The sequence below is a fragment of the Homo sapiens genome, chromosome 2 (assembly GCF_000001405.40).
Source record: "Homo sapiens chromosome 2, GRCh38.p14 Primary Assembly".
Classification (NCBI taxonomy): domain Eukaryota; kingdom Metazoa; phylum Chordata; class Mammalia; order Primates; family Hominidae; genus Homo; species Homo sapiens.
This window is the reverse complement of record NC_000002.12, coordinates 66,562,790-66,582,456: the sequence shown is the minus strand read 5'-3', so window position 1 is coordinate 66,582,456 and position 19,667 is coordinate 66,562,790. Positions and strand designations below refer to the sequence as shown.

General features: G+C 42.2%; 1 protein-coding gene and 1 long non-coding RNA gene across 2 annotated transcripts in view, besides 11 other annotated features; both read right to left on the bottom strand.

Moving 5' to 3' along the window:
- LINC01798 (long intergenic non-protein coding RNA 1798) overlaps nucleotides 1–8,427 on the bottom strand; it is a 121,559-nt gene extending 113,132 nt beyond the window's left edge. Inside the window, exon 1 of the long non-coding RNA NR_110156.1 lies at nucleotides 8,292–8,427. This is a non-coding gene — a long non-coding RNA (long intergenic non-protein coding RNA 1798). The remainder of the gene's footprint in view (nucleotides 1–8,291) is intronic.
- Nucleotides 2,614–4,223: an enhancer, noted in NCBI's record as "HHc2:067347". NCBI's record gives its function as "enhancer in hindbrain" and the evidence as "EXISTENCE:transgenic organism evidence [ECO:0001131][PMID:22448256]".
- Nucleotides 2,614–7,682: a biological region, named in NCBI's record as "HHc2:067347 enhancer downstream of MEIS1". NCBI's record gives its function as "regulatory_interactions: LOC111258501 | MEIS1".
- Nucleotides 3,533–4,333: a DNaseI hypersensitive site, noted in NCBI's record as "HS 143 kb; the nucleotide coordinates are approximate for this feature". NCBI's record gives the evidence for it as "EXISTENCE:in vivo cleavage assay evidence [ECO:0001075][PMID:24097337]".
- Nucleotides 4,825–5,625: a DNaseI hypersensitive site, noted in NCBI's record as "HS 142 kb; the nucleotide coordinates are approximate for this feature". NCBI's record gives the evidence for it as "EXISTENCE:in vivo cleavage assay evidence [ECO:0001075][PMID:24097337]".
- Nucleotides 6,682–7,682: a DNaseI hypersensitive site, noted in NCBI's record as "HS 140 kb; the nucleotide coordinates are approximate for this feature". NCBI's record gives the evidence for it as "EXISTENCE:in vivo cleavage assay evidence [ECO:0001075][PMID:24097337]".
- Nucleotides 6,738–7,193: an enhancer, noted in NCBI's record as "E3 enhancer". NCBI's record gives its function as "weak enhancer in K562, U937 cells" and the evidence as "EXISTENCE:reporter gene assay evidence [ECO:0000049][PMID:24097337]".
- Nucleotides 8,588–19,667, bottom strand: part of MEIS1 (Meis homeobox 1) — a 138,745-nt gene continuing 127,665 nt past the window's right edge. The window contains exons 10-13 of the mRNA NM_002398.3: nucleotides 14,946–15,004; nucleotides 13,701–13,790; nucleotides 13,312–13,407; nucleotides 8,588–11,211 (exon numbers count right to left, since the gene is read on the bottom strand). Of these exons, the coding sequence (NP_002389.1) occupies nucleotides 13,349–13,407; nucleotides 13,701–13,790; nucleotides 14,946–15,004 (208 nt within the window). The 3' untranslated portion in view covers nucleotides 8,588–11,211; nucleotides 13,312–13,348. The remainder of the gene's footprint in view (nucleotides 11,212–13,311; nucleotides 13,408–13,700; nucleotides 13,791–14,945; nucleotides 15,005–19,667) is intronic.
- Nucleotides 9,588–11,504: an enhancer, noted in NCBI's record as "HHc2:067135". NCBI's record gives its function as "enhancer in hindbrain" and the evidence as "EXISTENCE:transgenic organism evidence [ECO:0001131][PMID:22448256]".
- Nucleotides 9,588–13,563: a biological region, named in NCBI's record as "HHc2:067135 enhancer in MEIS1".
- Nucleotides 11,483–13,563: an enhancer, noted in NCBI's record as "E9 enhancer". NCBI's record gives its function as "enhancer in posterior lateral mesoderm, heart" and the evidence as "EXISTENCE:transgenic organism evidence [ECO:0001131][PMID:24022755]".
- Nucleotides 12,847–13,247: a DNaseI hypersensitive site, noted in NCBI's record as "HS 134 kb; the nucleotide coordinates are approximate for this feature". NCBI's record gives the evidence for it as "EXISTENCE:in vivo cleavage assay evidence [ECO:0001075][PMID:24097337]".
- Nucleotides 12,933–12,977: a conserved region, noted in NCBI's record as "conserved_region; HoxA9/MEIS1 module". NCBI's record gives the evidence for it as "COORDINATES:sequence alignment evidence [ECO:0000200][PMID:24022755]".

The window sequence follows — 19,667 nt, the reverse complement described above, 5'->3', positions numbered from 1 at the left end:
CAAGGATCTATCTTCACCCCTTGAGGTACCAGACCGCTCGGATCATTTTTATATGTTGTGAACACAATAAGTTTTCCTGCCTAGACTTTCTGTTTTTCCTCCTATTTCTAGGCTGCCTAATCTGCTTCAAGACAAAGGGTCGGCCCAGATCAAATGTGTTTTTTCCTCCTCTCTATTTCAATCACGTTGGGCGTCCAAGTTAATGAAGATCGCCCTACATGCGGCAGCCAGCTACGGGGCCGCTAGGAAAAAGGGAGCAACGCAGGGTCCAGGAGACCCAGTCCCGGGAAGATGATCTGTGCTTCCGCGGTGGGCACGCCCTTGGGCGCGCGCGGGGTCCAAAGGCCGAGTTGGAGAAGCCCTGCCTAGGGTAGTTCTACCTCTCAAGACCCTCAACCCTATTCTTGATTGTGTGTGTGCCCATGGAGGGATTTCTGGGGGTCTTGACCCCTCCTACTTCTCGCAGCTCGCCCCCTGACCCGGGCACAGCGCGCTACCCGCGGACGCAAGCGCGAGCAGCGTGGACCCGCCAGAGAAGTCGGTCCTCGCTCAAGTGCGGGCTCCCCTGCGTCCGCGGTCATTAAAACCTCACGAGGGGGGCTCGGCCTAGGGAGCAGACGCATGGGTAGGAGTTGGGGAGGGAGGCGTCCTGAAAGGTTCCCAGACCCGCGGGCTGGGGAGAGAGCCTCTGCGCTCACACCTGGGGCTCGCCTCCTGCGCGCAACTGTTAGTTACGCGGCTCCCACCCCAGTTCCTACTGGCAGCCAGGCGGGAGGCGCAATCTGTTCGGAGCCAGAGCCTTGCAGAGCCCCAGGGCCCCCAGCCCGCGGGGAGAAGGAGCCTAGCCGACGTCCGGCCGGCGCCTTCCAAAAGCAGCTCCACATTTGCTTTCACGCCAGCGCGGAAAGTGACCCGTCCCCGCAAAGCGGACAGCAAATGACCGCCTCATCCGCGGAGCCACCCCGGCAGGGCGTCTGGGGAGGTGCGCGGGGAGACGAGAAAAGGGACAGTGGGGCGGCGGGGAAAGAAAACAAACAGACCTGCATCGCTCCCCCTTTTGTCTTTACACTGCTTATCTCAAGAAATCAACTCAACAACACTCAACAACAACAAGCTGCCACCAAGCTTGTTTTTGTTTGTGTGACTTAGATCACAGATAGAACTAGGGACCAAACCTCCAAGTGTGTGTGTGTGTGTGTGTGTGTGAGAGAGAGAGAGAGAGAGAGAGAGAGGAGAGCCGCAGCGAGGCTACTGATGGTGAAGGGACGGTGAACTTCTCACCTTTCTTCAACTCAGAACAACACGTCCTTTAAAAAAATTCCGCACCGCCGAGTGTGTGAGTGTATGTGTGTGTGTTTCGCTGTTAATTGCATTTTGCTGGGATGATCTTTTACGACTCGAAAACAAGCAGCTGGGAAAATATTCACGTTTGGGACAGAAAACATTTTTTATTTATATCTTTGACATTTAAAAGAGCAGAATTAATTTGTCCTGTCTACATTAGCATTGAGAGAAAGTTTCAGAAATCTACCCGGGGGGAAAGGGAGGGGGGGAAAAGAAAAAGAGAAAAAAGAAAGCGAAGAAAGGAAAAGAAAAGCTAGGCTTGGTTTTTCTTATTTCAGATCTGTAATCAATCATTGAAATAGGAGGCAGCAAAACTGTAAAGATTCGATAGATTAAAATGCAAATGAAAGGTAGAAAAAGAAACATTAACATGGCGATCAAAGATTTAATAACCATAAATCAAGTTTTTTTTCTGTTGCAGCTGCAGTTTGTGTGTTTATGTTTTAATCATGTTCGTTCCATAAATAAATAATTTTGAAACGAGACTAATTTTTCATTATTTTAACAGTGGGCTACAACACTAAATATTAAAAATAGAAAGAGTATATGATGCAGATCCCCAACCAAATAAGAGAAAGACTTGTGTTGATTGGTTAAAATCAAGGGGTTTCAATTTTATGTTTTGAAAATCAGAGTATTATGCTAAAAAATTCTATCTTAACTGACAAAGCCCAAAGTTTTATTTTCTCTTTAATATTTTATGTTAACGACAAGATACCATTTATATTAAATATATGCATGGCTACGTATCCATTCCAGTCTGAGCATTTTCAAAGAACGGAAGTGTCAGAATATTAAATAATACAAACATATATTATTTCAAAGTGCCTTGACAGAATTTCTGGAAAATAATACTCTTTAGGATAATCTGCCTTCCAGAGAAAAAAGTGATGGTTCAACACAGTTAAAACTTTTCTAGCTTTATTATTAAAGTTATTTTTCCAAGGGGGAATATTTTAGCCGTTTGTTTTATTATTCAATTTAAGGTTTTATGTCAATGTGTCAAATTATCAGAGCACACTCTAAGTACTCATTTTCTCAACTATAATGAAAACTTTTCATTTAGATCTTTTTATGTAAAACATTAATTTATATCGTTAATTTAGAAGTATCTAGAACTTAAAAAATAAAACACCTGAACTTAGTTTCTCTCTCTCTCTCTCTTTCTCTCTGTCAACATCTTATTAACATAGAGAGGACATACATTTTCAGAAAATTTGAAACTTTTTTTTTCTGCTAATACAGACTTGCAATGTTTAAAATAAGCTTTTTGCTTAATTCTGCTTTTGAAGGAATGATTCCCCCTAGTATACTAAAATGATGGGTTAGAATTGTTTCAATTTCTCCTCTTTCCACAAATGATCACCAAATATGGAATACATATTTCCTTTCTGAAACCTTTAAGTTAAATGTGAGCTAAGTTTATGTCCACTCGCCGCCCCCCGCCCCCCCCCCCGCAGCCGAACAATCACGTTTTCACTGTGACAGTCCAATAATGCATTTAGTTTAAAATTACAATTACACTTGGACCTTTTCTCCTTTGTATTTTTTCATTTACTTCAGTGCAACAAGATGACTTGATTTCCATAGGATTACACGAACTCTATTCAGTGTTACTGGGATATTTCTGCTCAACTAAATGCTTGCCTTAATAGACAAATGAACTTCTTTTTATTTGCTGGAGTTTGTAGATGGTTTTAGATAACAGTGTGCAACTGATTTAGTTATTGTTGTTGTGAGAATCGAACAGCCACAAAAGTCATTTCTCTAAACTGAAGAGATATGACTCTGTAAAAAGGAGAAGCAAGGGCAGAATCATGGGGAATTATTTCAGTTTATAGCTATTATTAATTAAACTGGATGTGGTTTTATTCTGATCTTTTAGTACCGACCTTGTTAAAAGCTCCCAGCTACCTGCCTTTTTCCCCTCATCCCCAATTTTTTTTCTATTTATTAGGACTCATGTGGATTGGGATTGCCTTTTCTGTATTATATTACCAAGCAGTTACAGTGTAAAATCTCATGCACCTTCAGACGATCGCACCCCTCCCAGGGGGAAAAAAAAAAAAGAAATGCTTTTTTTTCATTCAGTTTTAGCATCTTGTTTCGTTGAAATGCAAGACAGGTACTTGATTTAGCATTTAAGCAAAAGGTTACACAAACCGCGTTTTAGAAAGTGTTGGGATGTCCGACAGGGTCAGCCCTAGATCAGATCATTTTTTGAATGCAGACCTAAAGATAATGAGTACTTGTTGTATTAAAGGGGACAAACAGTACTTTGGCTTCCTCTGACCCCAGAATGCACGGCTCGGTTTCATTGATCATCCTCCTTTATGAGATAATGCAATTACAAACATCAATAAGGGGCTGCAAGGGGAATCATTATGCGGTGACAGTGATAAATGACGGTGCAGAAATAGCATGCTTTTCCCCCCTAACAATCCAGGAGCCCAGGGGCTCCGGGGGCTGAACACAGTCGCCAAGGAAACAGATGACATCCCAAACGGCACCAAAAGAAAAAAAATGAACAGTCTTTCTTTGCCTTTCACTCTTTTCCGTCTTCCAAAGAGTTAGTTTTGGCTCAAGCAGCAGCTGCTACACAAGGCATTTCGTTATTTCAAACATTAAAGACTGGAACGGGCAGTGGGAGTCTCCTCCCCTTTCATCCCCACCCCCACTAGATAACACACAAAGCTCGCTGTTCACAGTTTAGGACTACCTGAAAATGCACGTCTCAAAAATCAGATTGGGATGGGGTGGAGGGGCGTCGGGAACGTGGATTTGCACAGCCCTTGCGTTGTGTTTCCCCTGCTTTTGTCCAGTGGAAACTGAGTCTCCAGAACAAGCTGGCGCCTCGCGGGTCGGCCAGTAAGGGAACGGGTGCGCGTGGCTCGCCTCCATCTCCCCGCAGTGCCAGACGCTGCTCTGTGCCAAGGCGGGGGCTGAGGAGCAGGCGACTGCTGGGGGTGTTTGCTGCTGTGCTGGGTTTCTTTGGGATGGAGTTATCAATGGGCGCAGAGATCGTCCCTAAATCGAGAAATCTGGTTCTTTAAAGCCTCAGGGTGCCCTCAGCAAGCGGCTTCAAAAGGGCCTCACTGAACATTCCCCACCCCACCCATGCCCAGAAAGGTGGGCGAGGTAGATGGGCGCAAAAAGGCGTCGGGCTACCAGACTTCTGCGACGGCCCTGAGGCAGCGGGGGACTAGGAGAGGGGCAGAACCTCTGGACACTAGGTGGAGAAGGGGAACTTGCCACTTTGGGGGAGGGGAGGAGGAAGAAAGAGTACTGAGATGTGAGGGAGGCCTAGGAAGAAAGGCAGAGGGAGGGGAGAAGGAAAGCAAGCAAAAGCAATCCCACCCTTACAGGAGGTCGTCACCCCGCAGAAAACAGACACAGGGTTTCTGACCCCTGCCCGGTCCGCCTCGGCGTGGAGCTAGGGACCCCCGCTCGGCGCTCCCTGCCACACACGGCCCCCACCGGGAGGAGCGGGCCAAGCGGGTGCCTGAAGCAGGTGACTTTATTCACTGCTTCCCCAATCGGCGAGGTCCCGGGACTCGTTTTCCGCCTGGAAATTAAGATCATTGCTCGCGTAATGACCTTAATGCTTTAGGGTAGAGGTGAGTGTGTCTGCGAGTGGGCAGGGGTAGAAATTACCGACCCGATCGATGGGAGACTGGCTTAAAACTAAATCCCTTTTCTCCAGGGCTGCACCGCCCGGGTTTCCCCTCAGTGGGCTGAGAGCGCCGGGATGTCAGGAGGCAGCGCGCGGAGGGGTGACCCGTGGGGCGCGGCAAGCCAGAATCAAGGCCCTAAAAATGCTTCCCCCATCTCCCCACTGAGACCCCCAGGGTACTATTTTCAGAGCAAAGGCGCTTTAAAGCTCAAATGTTGGCGAACTGATTGCTCAATACGTTGTTTGTTTTTCCTTTCAGCTCCGCCTAGGGAGAGAATGTTTCAGACTCCTTGGCGGGTAGAGCGGGCCGAAAAGGGAGCCCTCCCTCTCCCAGCCATCAGCTGTCTTCCTCAGGTCCCCGACCCCACCTTTCTCGCTCACTACTTTTTCCCCAAACCCTGGGATTCCCAGGCTCCTGTAGTCTCCGCACCGTGGCCACCTTAAGTGAAACGCGCCGCTAGCAGCCAGTGGGTAAGGCATGGCATGGGAGACGAGAATGAGACAAGGAAAAGTGCCCAGCCAGGCAGGGCGCCCCACTACCCAGTTCCACGCCTCTCTCCATCGGCGTCCAAGCGCCTACCCGGGAGCTTTGCAGCATGAAGTTACGTTTTTACTGCCTTCCGGTGGGCCAAGGGCCTGAGGGTATCCGAAAGGCTGGGGAAAGTTTGCAGAGCTTTTAAAGTGATCCTGAGGAGCTTCTGCCTAAGGCGTCGGGGTGCTGTCTACGGCTTCCCGGCTGCGGCTCCAGACTCGGGCACTCTCCTCCCAACGCCCTCCTAGTGGGCCGTGCACGCGTTCCATGTGCCCTCCAGCCCCCAGGCTCTCTGGGTCGCGCTCCCAGGGCCACTATGGGACTCTGGAGTCTGGGGCCCCCGATGTGGCAAAGTCTATTAGGAAGTCTCCAGGCTACTACAAAGCACTCCGTGAGGTTCCGAGGAAAGAGCGCCCGGACCTGCACCCAGGAGGTGCCTCTCCACAACCTCCTTCGCAGACCCCTGGTCGCCCCATCTCCAGAGACAAAGTCAACAGTCCCTTAGACTAGACTCAGATGGGGGTGAGGGCAGGAGGGTAAGGCAGGCGCCCGTGCAGCCCCCCCACCCCCGCCACCCCCCGCGACCAGAGCTGTGGTCTCTGGGCAAAGACCTGCCCGCCCACGCACTGGGGCCTAGGCCGGGACCCAGCGCATCGAGGGACTCAGGGGTAGCACGTCCTGGCTGGAGCTCTGCGCAGTTGCCCGCTGGATTTCCTCTCGGGGCACGGAGCCGGGCCCAACCCCAGGACTGGAGCCTATACCCTTCCGCTCCTCCCGCAGACTTGGGGGACACTGCACACAGCAACTAACCCCGATCGCAAAGTCGAGCGCGAAGTCTGCACGCCGCGTGGGAGACGCGAGAGGGAGGGGGAGGGCAGGGCTTGCGTTTTTCCTTTTCAGAATCCTTCGACTTCACTACGAAGTTTGCTGGTAGGCGCCTCTGCTCCGGGGTCGGAGCCTCCCACCAAGGCTCCTTCCCCTCCCCTTCTCCCCGCCCCCGCGAGCCGAAGCAGCCGCAGCCTCCACCAGGACCCGGCCGCCCGCTCGATCCCCCTGACCCGGACCCTGCGCCCAGGTTGCAGCGCCGCCCTCCCGGCCTTGCCCCCGGGCTCGGCTGGGGGCTCTTTTCCCCGGGGCGAAACTCGCCCGCCTGGCTCACTTCAAGGAGACACCCGCTGCCTCCCGAGGAACTCCTAATACCATCCATACAGCTTTAATGCGTTTATAATTCGATAAGTGATTTCAATTTGAAATTGTTAGTAACTAATTTTATGGGTAATTTTTCCACATCAAATATTTAAGCATCAGATTAAGGGAGCCAGTTCCGACACTGGATAATAAGGGGGTTTCCCCCACTCCCGCGCCTCCGCCTCCCTCCGTTTCCTACCGAGTCGTTTTTCGAAATCCCCAAAAGATGGCAGTCGAAGCCGACTTTCCTCTTTTCCTGTGGCTCTGCGAAGGGAGGGGGAGAGAGGAGGATGGGGGAGTGCGAGAGTGGGGGGCGGAGAGAGAGAGAGAGACAGAGAGAGAGAAGGAGGAGGAGGAGAAGGAGAAGAAAAAAAGGGGGGAGAGAAAAGCTAGACGGTGCATGGACTTTTCAGACGAATTCTTTCACACGTTTCTAATACAAGCGAAAAGCAGTGGTGAATTTCCTGGAAAAGTCCTGGCAGAAATGAAAGCCAAAAAACGTGCCTTGTGGCCTCAGGGTACGGGATGTGAGAAACTCAGCACATTCAAGCTAAATCTTCATTTTAGAACAGGAGAGGGAGAGGGAGACCCAGAGAGGAACCGACTCGACTGACTTTAGGGTCTTTCTTTGTATTTTAACATTGTATATAAATACTACACAACTAGGCAACGTGTTTCCTCGAGGACTGGACTCTGCGAATTACATAATGAGGGGAAAGAGGTAGGGGTGGGGAAGGGGAAGGGGTGGGGGCAGACTGCAGCGGGCGGAGGGGAGACTGGGGCGAGCAGCGGATGAATTGCAGACCAGTTGCCAAAACTTTTTTTTTTTCCCTGCTGCTGCTGCTGCGGCTGCCTTTGCTGCTGCCTTTGCTTTGAATGTGGGTAACTAGGAAACAGCAAGCCGTCTGAGAAGACGGAATTTCCAACGTGTAAAATGTTCTTAACGGAACCATTGAGCGAGTGCAATAAGGCGTGAGGGGGAACTAATCTTCCCATTTAAATGTTTGTGGCAATTTTATCTAAATGAATTTTAATGCTAAACGAGGGTAATTCCCCATTTGTAGCGCGTTTACTTCTCTTTCCTGTGCTTCTAAAGCAGTCGAACATCATGCAATGAACAATAACAATAAAAATACTGTCAAGGCATATTATTCATTTTGAATGTGTTATAATTACAGCTGATTAAATATGATAGGGTAAAATATTTTTAATTTTTTGAAAAAAAAATTTAAATCATATTAAAAAGTAGTCTCATTCAGCCAGAGCCAGCCCCCTTTCCACCCCCCCCCCACCCCCCCACCCCCCCACCACCAAATAAAAATAAAAACCAGGTACAATTTTGTGCCCTTGTTTAGAGGAGGGCGTTTTGTTTTTGCCTTTTAGGAAACATCAAAAACACTCTCAGCACCTCTATTATTTGCCTCTTTCGGATAAGTGTCCTCAATAACCTTCGAGCTGGCTCTGAAATTTACAAGAGGAAAAGCTAAAATAGCATTAAGAGGGGAGGGCATCGAGGCAGGGGAAGAAAGGAACTGCGAAGAGCGAGGCTCTCACCTAAATGGCTCACAGAGGGGGAACTCACGGAAATAGCAGTTTATTTTTTCTAATTCCTGGACACTGCTGATCTCGATTCTTCAGAGTCACCATATTCCCTAACTACTCTTCACTTGTAAACCTCCCTCCCCTAGCGCCTCTCTCTTTCTCTCTGTCTCTCCCTCTCGCCTCTCTCCCTCTCCCCACCACACCTCCTCCCCTTTCTTTCCCTCCCCCACCCATCCTGAGCCTCCTCAGGAATAAAGGCTGAAAATAACCAACTCACCCGGGCATGTACTGGAGAGGAGGAGCAAATAGACAGTTTATAAAGTTTATTATTAATTGTTAAAGTAAATAAATGGTTGTTAACTGCTAGCAACCACCTATCAAAAGAGAATGATTTCACTCACATCGACTATTTAGGTAGAGGAAGAATTGCCACTAGGTCAACAAGGGAGATTTAAACAATCCCATCTATGGGCTGGGGAGGGGTAGAAGCGCTGCCAGAGATGGCTGCAGTAGGCTGAGCCTTGCTCTCTGCGCATCCACGTGTTTAGAAACAAGGCCCCATCAGCAAAAGGTGAGAATGCATTGCTACTCCAGCAGGTGAGTCAGTCAATCACACATCACCTAGTAAAGCCAACCCACAGCTGGTTTCTCTTTTCGAATAGAAAATAGAATTGCTAAGGGCCGGTTTATAGGGTGACTTGGGCCTGAATGTCAGACTTGAGTTTAAGGCTCTCTCTCCTCCGACCCATCCTTTGTTTACAAAGCAATCACTACTGAAAGGCTTATTTTTTAAAACGAATTTGCCTTAATTAAAATATTTGTATATTTTCCTTAGCTTTGGGAAGCACTTTTTATAGCAGCAATTTTATTTAAATAAAATTATAAGCTATTCCAGCTTAAACATATTATTTTCTACCATTTAGCCGGCTGCCATGCAGAAATCTTGTACAGCTGTTCTGGAAAATTGGTTAATAACCAGTTTTATCCAATGAGAACATAGAGCATATTTATAAAAATTAGATTTTGAAGTCTGGTCTCTTCAATTCATGTAGTTAATTTCCTAATAAACATATACTGCTCATCCTAGGTAACATCCTTTAGTAAAAGACTTAACTTTGTACTTAGGTTTGCCTTTATGTGCAAGAATAATTTCACTGATATTAGATGAGTAATTCTGTTGGATGTAATTCTGAGTCTAGAGTTAGTTTAGTGCCTTTAGGCCTCAAATTTGCTGATATTAGGAGTTCATTAAGTCAGCTTAAAGAAATCAGTGGTTATTATTAAACAACTTACTTTGCGGTTAAAATTGTCAAATACATATATGGCTTAGGGAGCCAAAATTAATTTTTATATTTACTGTATTAATCTTTAAAAATCTGGGGGGCAGTAAACAAATTTTTCAAGCAGTGGAGTCAGCATGACAAAAATAATCTTGTTTTTATTTTAGATTCAGATTTCATTACTGCACTCAAACGACTACAACTGGGCTTGGCGTTATTATACAATCCAAACTGTTTCCATCAGAAACGCTAAGACTCAGTGTGCAATGATTGTTATTAATAATTAGCTCCTTGGTTTCTTGATAGAAAAAGGCTATCAACAAGCATTTGTTTATCCACAACAAAAAGTATAATTAGCTTATCCCACTTAGTAAATCTTGTATGCATGCCAACTCATACCAAACTGCTACTTTTACAAAAAAAAATTGCAATAATACAGTTCATTTTTCCAGTCCTTTTTGCACAAAATTTATTTACAATGTCTACATAAATGCTCCAAGGTGGGACTATGAAAAAATACACACATGACCGATGCTTTGCTCAGAAATAAAGTCAACATATTAAAAATAAATCTTCAGTCTATGTTTTAGAGCTGCTTAAAACAGGAAGTGATGTATAAGGTGGTGGTTGTTGCATGGGGACAATGATGCTTGATGTGACAATTAGGCTTCTAAACACACGGCCTTTTGGTTTCCATGCCTCCTCCTACCAGTCTCCTTAAGACACTGCCTGCAACAGCTGATTAATCATTGTTGATGACTGCAGTTTTTCCCATCCTTCCCGATTTACATCTGTTCAGGCCAATTCAAATATGGTGAGTAAATGAATTAGACATGCAAATTCAAGCCCCAGGCTAGAAAGAGGGAGAGAGAGGAAAAGAGAGAGAAAGAGAGAGAGCGCGCGCATGGCTGAAATCCTAGGCGAGAAGAAAGATTCTTCTGCCTGATAGTTATTTTAATGCTCTAAAAATCCTGCAAATCAGACCTTCCTGTCCCTTGCAGGATAACTGTAAGGCTTTTTAATGTAAGGAGGCTTCTGGAGGAAGTGAAGAGCTATGGAAACAACACACATAGTGTGGAAAAATTTCACATTTTTTTTAAAAAATCTATAAGAAACAACGTAATATGGATAACAGTATAATAGCATTTACAATATTTCACTCTTTGTTCTCTTAATGTCTTATATAGTTATTTAGCATGTCCCCCAAATTGACTTCAGTTGGTATTTCCTGCTTTTTAAAGGTCCCTATGAAGAATTAGGGATGCTCCTTGGTCCAGAGTAGATGCCAAGAATGGAACTCCACAGTCATTGCAGAAAAAACATGATTTGAAATCAGTCACCATTGCAGACAATGCATATTCCCTTAAGCTACTGAGCATGAATGTCCATGACTTGTCCACTCATTGTTGGGTCTCCTGTATTAAGAACTGTGGGGCTTGATGCTGACATTGGCATTCCAGGGTGGGGCGGTCCTCCATGCATCATCACTGTTGGGTGGTGAGGGTGTCCAGGAATGTACGTATGCATGGGGGGCCCATGACGCAGCTGAGCAGGATGGGGGGGCATCTGGGGTTGGGTATAACTTGGCTGTCCCATACTCACACCCATTGGACCACCCCGGGCTACATACTCCCCTGGCATACTTTGCAGCCCTGTAAGAAATTCAAAAGAAAGAAACAAAAAGAAAATGTTATGAAAAAGCAATAGTGTGGTCCTGGCTATGACAATCCTATAAAAGCCAGAGAACCCTGTGATTAAGGGAACATGGTTTTGTAAAGCATTCTTTTGATTCATACAGAAGAAAATAAAATGAGAAACATCATGCTGGAAACTCACATTTTGCCACTATTTTCCTTTCATTGTCACTGTTATCAGGTCCGCCTACTGAGGTCTTATTTATTAAAAAGAATAAAATTGTTATTTGAGGTCTGGTCTGAAGAAGCACTTTTGTCTCCTGAAATATTCTCTATCAAGAATACAAGAATACACTGAGCTGGTCACCAAACATCTCACAGGCAGCTGAACTACACAGGCTCACTAAGGGTGATTACTTAGCAAAACCTGTACTTAAAAAAAGAAAAAAATCAAAACAGTTATCAATGAATTCTTTCCACATGGTTTCTTAGAGCTGGGGAAAAGAAAATCTTCACAAAACACTGTCCACCTTATAATGATTTTGAGAACAATAAGAAAAATTGGACCTAAAACAATACCCCTCCTGCTTTGAGGGGGCCTCTTGTCTTCTGCATGGATTGCTATAGTTGATGGAAACTGACAGGTGTATTGTTTCTGAGAGCTATAAGCTCCATAATCATCAAGGGTGAAAGGCATAACGCTATTGCTAAGTAGGTTCAATTGGCTTTAGTTCTAAGTAATAGTGCACTGTGAATACGATGAACACCTTCGAATAAGGTCTCCAGGCTCTAACAATGAATGGCTGCTTAATCTAGCCTAAAGGAACATTTTTGAACTAATGAAAATTGCTTATAAAATATACTGTACCCACAGCTCTTTAATCAAAAAAGATGATAATTTTTTTTGTAATAACCTAGTAATTTAATTGGTCACGAAGCATAAAATACATCATTTAAATTTAATTGACCCAGAAACTAAGAAACAATATTTAAATTAACTAAGCTAGAGAATTCCATGATGAGGTAATAAGACTGTTGCATTCCCCAGCTCAATGGAATGTTTTCAGAGCTAATTGTTAAACTTATATTTGACTCACACCCAGAGAAGATGACCAGTACGAATTACCCCTGGCCTCAGCAGTGATTTTAAATAGTGCATAAATATAATCAGAGACACAAGCAAGACTCTGAAATAACTGCTTTTAATTTCAAAAACAAAGCAAGAACAGTGCTATTAGGGGTAATTTAGGAAGTGAACAAGAGCCTTGGTGTTCAAAACAGTTTTACTTGTTTGAACTCGAATTGCTGGAGTGTCTTTATAGGAGAGAAAATGCAAGAGTGAGAATCTGGGACAGTTTTCCTAGGCCCACTTCACTAGGCCTGCCACTGATGATTGCATTAATGATCTCTATTTTTGTATACTGAATAAGTCAAATCCATTTGTCACACTGCAAGTGATGGCATACTTAATTTGGATATAGTCAATTAGCCTGGGCTAAGCCCCGCAGCCTGCTGTGCACACCTCTATTTTGTATTCTCCCTTTTCCCATTGCCACACGTAATCCCATTATGATGGACAGACAAAGGAATAAACTAAGAAAAAAAATCAAAGTTTAGTTGACTGGAGCTCAAAATATGCCTTTACTTACCCTAAGTAAAGCTTGTGTTTATTTTACCTAAAAGAAGTCTCTGTTTAGCTTTTCGGTGTCTTGCAGGTTAGTGTAGAAATGTAACTCATGCATCAACTGCGGTTAGACAGATTTATGACACTTTGGGGACATGCTCTTCCCTCTCCTTGCACTGCTGCAGACTGCTTACATTTTGCAAATCAGTCTGTTGCTATGACAACCCACTCCCCCACCTCCTGACTGCTTCTTGTTTTGTCATGTGGTCAGTACTGTACAATAGCAACACACAGGATAAATGTACATCATACACAGTATTTATAAGCTTAAAAGCTTGATCACAACCAAAAAGAAAATGATGGAAGCAAGAAACCAGGAGTTTAATGGAAAGGAATGAACAAGCATGAAGCTATGGGCAAGGAGAACATAAGAAAATGCAAGAGGAAAAATATTCCTAGGACAAAGTGAAAACAAAGACCCCATTTGTACTTACTTCCCCCTTGCTTTGCGATTGGTTAACTAGATGAAGGTTACATGTAGTGCCACTGCCCCTCCATGCCCATATTCATGCCCATTCCACTCATAGGTCCTAGAAGGGAGATAAAAATCCAAGAAGAGGCCAGAAAATGAGCAAAGTCAACAGATAGTGCCAAAAGACCCTTAAAAAAAAAACAGGATCTAGAGGGTTGAGAAATAGTGAGATCTTCAGTGCATAAAGATCCTGGCTTCCCCTCTGCAATATCTTAGATGCACAGATAGCAGACAAGGCAAGGCAGCCAGCTTGAGATAACAGAAAAGGATGAGGCGGATTTACCTGTGTTGATGAGGGGATGACACTCTTGGAGTCAAAAATGAGGAACTACCACAAAAACAAAGTCTTACCTGGTGCTCTAATTCCCATATGTTGCTGACCGTCCATTACGAAACCTCCCATGGGCTGTCCATCAGGATTATAAGGTGTTCCTTGACTTACTACAAAAGTACAGAATGTGGTTTTTTAATAACAGTCTCTGAGAGCAAAAGAAATAGCCCAAGAGAGACTAAGAGGAGAACATACCAGAGAAAGAGACAGAACATAGCAGGCTAGTATAATTTTTTAAACATTCAAAGTGAAATTTCTCTCAGACTAGATCTACACACCTCTGTGACTGAGTTTTTAAAACATCTAGCTCAAAGAGGGAACAGTTAAGGTGTGGAAACTTTCTGCTTGGGTTTTGTCTGGTGACCACATAATGGGTGTTGGAAGAAAAAAAGTTACAGGAGTAAATGTGTGTTGCCTCAATGCGATGCTAACATAGTTTTCCATAGTGCTCCCTAAGAGATGAGAGAGTATTTCATAAAGAAAGTAAAGACTCACATCACCCCTAGCAAATACTCTTGTTATCTTACTGGCATATTATAATGCAAAAACAAATCCTAGAGAGATGTTTCTTGGATTTTTAGATCCACAAGCCAGGATCCCATAGAAGTATCGCCATTTTAAGCTCATAATTTAAAAACAAAACAAAAAGACTGTTATTAAAAAAAAAAAAAGTCGAACACCAGAAGATGGATATTAACAAGAGAAGGTCTGAGAAATAAGAACCATGTATTTATACCACTACCTGAATCCCGTGTTTTAACTGTACATGAAAAGCTGCTTCAGAAGTAAGCTGCCTTGGGTTATTAAAGCACACAAAAGCTCTACCTCATTGAATGTCTTTGAACTTTACTGAGTCCCACAAGCAATCCTGACCCCTTTGCCCTTTTGACAGGTAATAAAGTTTACAGCAATTCCACACCAAGCCATGCACCAGGGAGTGGTCATAGTAGCAGAAAGAGCTGGGAAGGCAAACTCAGAAAAAAAATAACATTAATATATTGAATGTGTACAAAGAATATTGTAACTGAGCATATTATTTAAGAGTTACTTTTCTCTGTTGGCTTTTTTTTTCCACCTTCTCCAAACGTTTTATAATGATGTTAAATTGATTAGTGTTGTTATGAAACGAAACTGGTTTAATTTTAATTGCCAGGCGTTCCTATACTCACTCCCAGTTTATTTACCAGGTAGCGGACCTCCCGGTGAATGGCTTGAGGATGGTTTTCGCTTGCGTGACTTGAATACAGTCACTATGGGGGACTTGCCTGCTCGGTTGGACTGGTCTATCATGGGCTGCACTATTCTTCTCCGGGCATTAATAAACCTGTAACCAAGAAAGTGAAACAAATCGTTATTCCTTAAAAATAAAAGGGGGGGTTGAGGAAGAGGAAAAGATGAATCGCAGTTGGAGTAAAACTAGATCTTGGCAAAATGGGACTCCTTCAGTTCTCTCCATTGCTCTATGTGCAGCCTCACGTGCTGGAAAACCTGTAACCCCCAGTGACCTTTGAGTACACAGGCTTGGGGTTTCTGAGTTGATTTATGTTTGCCTGTTTTACCACAGTTGGACACTTCCATTTCATCTTTTCATGGGGGAATTAGCAGAGTTTTCAGGAAACAATACTAGCCACCACTCCTTTCATTTGCAAAGAGAGAAAATTGGTGTAAAGAGTTAGATGCTCATAAGGGCATCTGTTACCTCTCCTAATTAGTGACATTTCAATCTTATGTTCTCTGACTTCTTTTGTACAATTTTTATCAAAACCACCCCTACCTCTTGCAAACCTAATTCTATTTTAATGCCCACTATTAAGATAATGAACTGGGATGGCAGCACACCATCAAATGAGAGAATGTCTGGAGTTTATCACCACTAACTCACACTGCTTAGGACTTCAGAGAAATGCATTCCTTGTAGAGATTTCTTGGGGTGGCTTTTTTTGTTGTTGTTGTTTTTTTTTTTTTTGCTCTTTATGTAAAGTCTGAGGTCAAGGCAAGGTCACAGATATACAGTAATTGAACTTATAGTTTTGCTTTCTCCAGCTAGTACTGAAAATTTATAAACATCTTATTAAGGCACTTAAGTTACTTTAAGTGCCTTAATAAGATAGTTTTGTACAATTATTTTTGTAGCCTCTCCAAAAGTGACAAGTCACTGACATGTAAAAAAGTATTAATATACGCTCTCCAGAGTCATACGCATGAGATTCTCTTAAGATCCGTTTGTTCTGCATAATATTAAAAATTACGTATCAAATCCAGAAAATGAAGAGGACATATTAGATTCTGAAATAGTAAATTCCTTTTAGTTCCCAACTCAGATCAAATCTGAGCAGGACATAAAAAATACAATGAAAAGTTTAATAAGGCTCTATTAATGATTAAAGGATCCATAGTCCAGTATGAATTCTAGTTTGTAAATCTGCCCACTTCAGGAAGGAAAATAGTTCCTAAAAACCAAACCATTAAACAGACAGGGACAGGTTTTCAAAACAAAAATGCATACTTCATAACATTTTAAGATTCTCAATATCCTGTATCCTTGTGTTCTTTCATTATCTGAGAAGTAATTGAAACAAATAATGAAACTAGAATCTAACTAAAAGGTATACTGTTTGTGCTAATTCTTGTTGGCAATACATATTATATCAGTTCTTGTATATGAAGTCCCTGAACTGCTAATAAAAATATTTAAAACACAGGTCTACAACAAATTGTGTTGCAAATCAGGTTATCATTATCTTGTATAAACCATGAAAACTGGAATCATGTGAGCAGAAGGTTAGATTAATTCTCCATTCTCATTATAAGCACAGGTGTAGCACAAACACCATGTGAAATAACCAATTAAAATGAAAAAAAATCTGTTTTTTCATTAGCTGCCTTCACTGCATGACCAATTAGAAAATTATTTAATATTAATATTCTGCATATACCAAAAGTAATTTTCATAGTAACTAATGTAGGTAAGAGAGCAAAAACATCTCTTTATCTATGGTACTGTTCATTATCTGCAGACTCTTAGAGGGAAGGAATTCTGTCTATTAACTTTCTTTTTCCAGACTTTTTAAAAACATAATCTTTTATGGATGTGACTTATACTACTTACCTAAAAATAGGAAGAGACATTTTTAACAGATGAGAAGCCTGGGCTCAGAGAAATTAGGTGACTTCTTTGAGGTCACATGTTACCAAAGAGATGTTAATAATTTGCTAAATGACACACAGCTGTCAGTGGTAGCAAGCACCCTCCTCCCTGGTGCTCTGGCACAGTGACTAGAGCACCGCAACTATAGTGCCACTCATCTAGAATATCCAGACTAAATAGATATATAAAAATTAGCTGGTTTCAAGCCAATTACCACTGGCAGCAACCCCAGTGTTTAGTCAAGGAAGAAGCATGACTGTGAACATTTTGTAAATTGAAAATTTTGATGGCTGCACTGTTTGTGTGTATAGGCAAAGATAAGGCTATTCAAAGAGAGAGAGAGAGAGTGAATACAGTGACTTGATTTATCTGTATTCCAAAACTTGTCTCCATCATATTCACATATTGAGACTCCCATAAACTAATTCATAATAATCAACTCAGGTTTGAGTCTATGACTATTAAAGTCGTGAGTTCATTTTTAAAAATTACACCTCAGGTTTCAAAAGGGCTGTAATGGTCACTTCGTTTGGTCACTGACATGAATCCCCTATATGATATCTGTCCCCCAAAAGTACATAGGTAACCTCTGCTGAACTAATACAGCACTCACCACCTTACTTAAGAGGCCACCCCATCTATAAACAAGGCTGTTAGAAGGTTCTGCCTTACTAGATCAAAAATATTTATGTTGGTGCAAAAGTAATTGCGGTCTTGCCATTACTTTCAGTGGCAAAAACAACAATTACAGGGGGAGGGGGAAGGGATAGCATTAGGAGATATACCTAATGTAAATGACGAGTTAATGGGGGCAGCACACCAACATGGCACATGTATACATATGTAACAAACCTGCACGTTGTGCACATGTACCCTAGAACTTAAAGTATAATTAAAAAAAAAAAAAACAATTACTTTTGCACCCAACCTAATAGTTTTATCAGCACAACTCCTTGGGGTACTGTAAGCAATTCTAATTTTACTTCCACAGGATAGCCCTTCAAATAGTTAAACATAGCCATTATGCTTTATAGCCTTCTCCCCTCTAATCCTTAGGTTAAACATTAGTGATTCTTAAAAAGTGCCTGCTAGAATGTGAGTCCTTCTAGGATATTGAGTCCATTCAATACCTGGACCACTCTCTGCTCAGTAGGCTGATCTTTGTCTATGTCCTCCTGAAGCCTTGCAGTGGACAACACCAACGACATTTATTCCAGGCCTGCTCTGATCCCCAGGTAGAAAGCAAATACACACAAAAAATACCACAGCCTCTTAGCCAACTGCCCACAGGTACTAGATGTTATTTGCTTCTTTTTGGTGGCAAGAACTGTTTGTTGTTATTAAGAACACAGATGTCAGCTACCCCTAGAATGTGTAGATATCAAAGGGGGAAACCTTTAATTAAAAAATAAAACATAAACAAAAACACTGAAAACCTGAGAAAAACTAATCACCTTTTCTGAGCTGTTTGACCACATTAGTAGGTCTACCTGCAACTTCTTACTTGTGAAACATTTAATTTAAAAAATTCAATATAATGAAATATCATTAGTACATATAGGATGTAGTAATCTCTCAGAACGTTACTGAATTACAATTACTACACTTATATGAACAACTAATTATTTGGGGTCATGATGGACATCTATGTGAAAACAACAAAGTAAATAGCAAAATATTTTATTTTTAAAACAACATCACCTTTTCGACCTTAAACAATCTCCACATTTGATTCTCTTTAGTGTATTTTATCATTATCCCAGACTATTTTATACATCCTCTCTCTTTGGAATTATGCTACACACAGCAGAGCCATGTTTAGATGGCTTCAGGGTGAATTCAGATACAAAAACATTTTCCTTCTGGGCAAAGTAATAAAATGACATTCTTGCTCCTCCCACTATAAGTCAAACTGAGGTCAGTTCCCCATCCCTCTATCTGTTTAAATAAATTGGTCCAGCTGTTTGTTTCTAAAATGCCCTTTGACCTTGTGTCTCATCCTCCCTGCTTTTGTGACAGAATGCTTTACTTTTCATTGTGGAAGAGTCTAAATTATCAAGAATTCTCTAAACACCGAACCAAAAAAAGAACTGTACATATGATGTGAACTTAAATGAACATATTGTCACTTTAAAATCCTGTCATTTTAAGAGGCATAAGTAAAATAGTTATCTTAATCCTATATGTATGTGTGTGTGTCTGTGTGTTCAAATATATATCTACATTTATGTATGAACACAAATATATATTAGAGATTCAACATAGAAGAAATAGTGTTTTGGAAGAGAAATATAAAAAAGAATGACAAAATTCCAATTTGAATATACTATAAAAAATACATTCTCCAACAGCCACAAAATGGTTTGAGATAAAATACAAATACATATCTATGAAATACACACAATCTTAGAATTTTCCATACTGATAAGGTCTCTTTTACAAAGTATGTTAGTTTAAAGATGTAAGAGGAAACTTTTGTACTTTTACAATTAAGGTCCTAATATTACATAGCCCTTAAAACTCAGATATGGAATGTCAGGAGTACACAGCCACATGACAGTTTTGCTCACTCATTAAAATAGATAGTTACACACCTTGGTTTAATGAAATATAATTCAAATTTGCCATACATTGGGATTCTTGAAAAAGTAAATCTTTTAGTATGCTTTAAGGTTAGAAAATGTCTCGTTTGCTTTTTCATTTACATTCGAACATAGGGTTTCTTAAAATCTAGTTTGCTTTGAAAACACAGTCTTCTTTTGTGAAGTACTTTTTAAGAATTGGACTCCCTGCAGGTGGTGGAAGACTGAATTAGGAGAAGAATCTTTATATTTCCTTT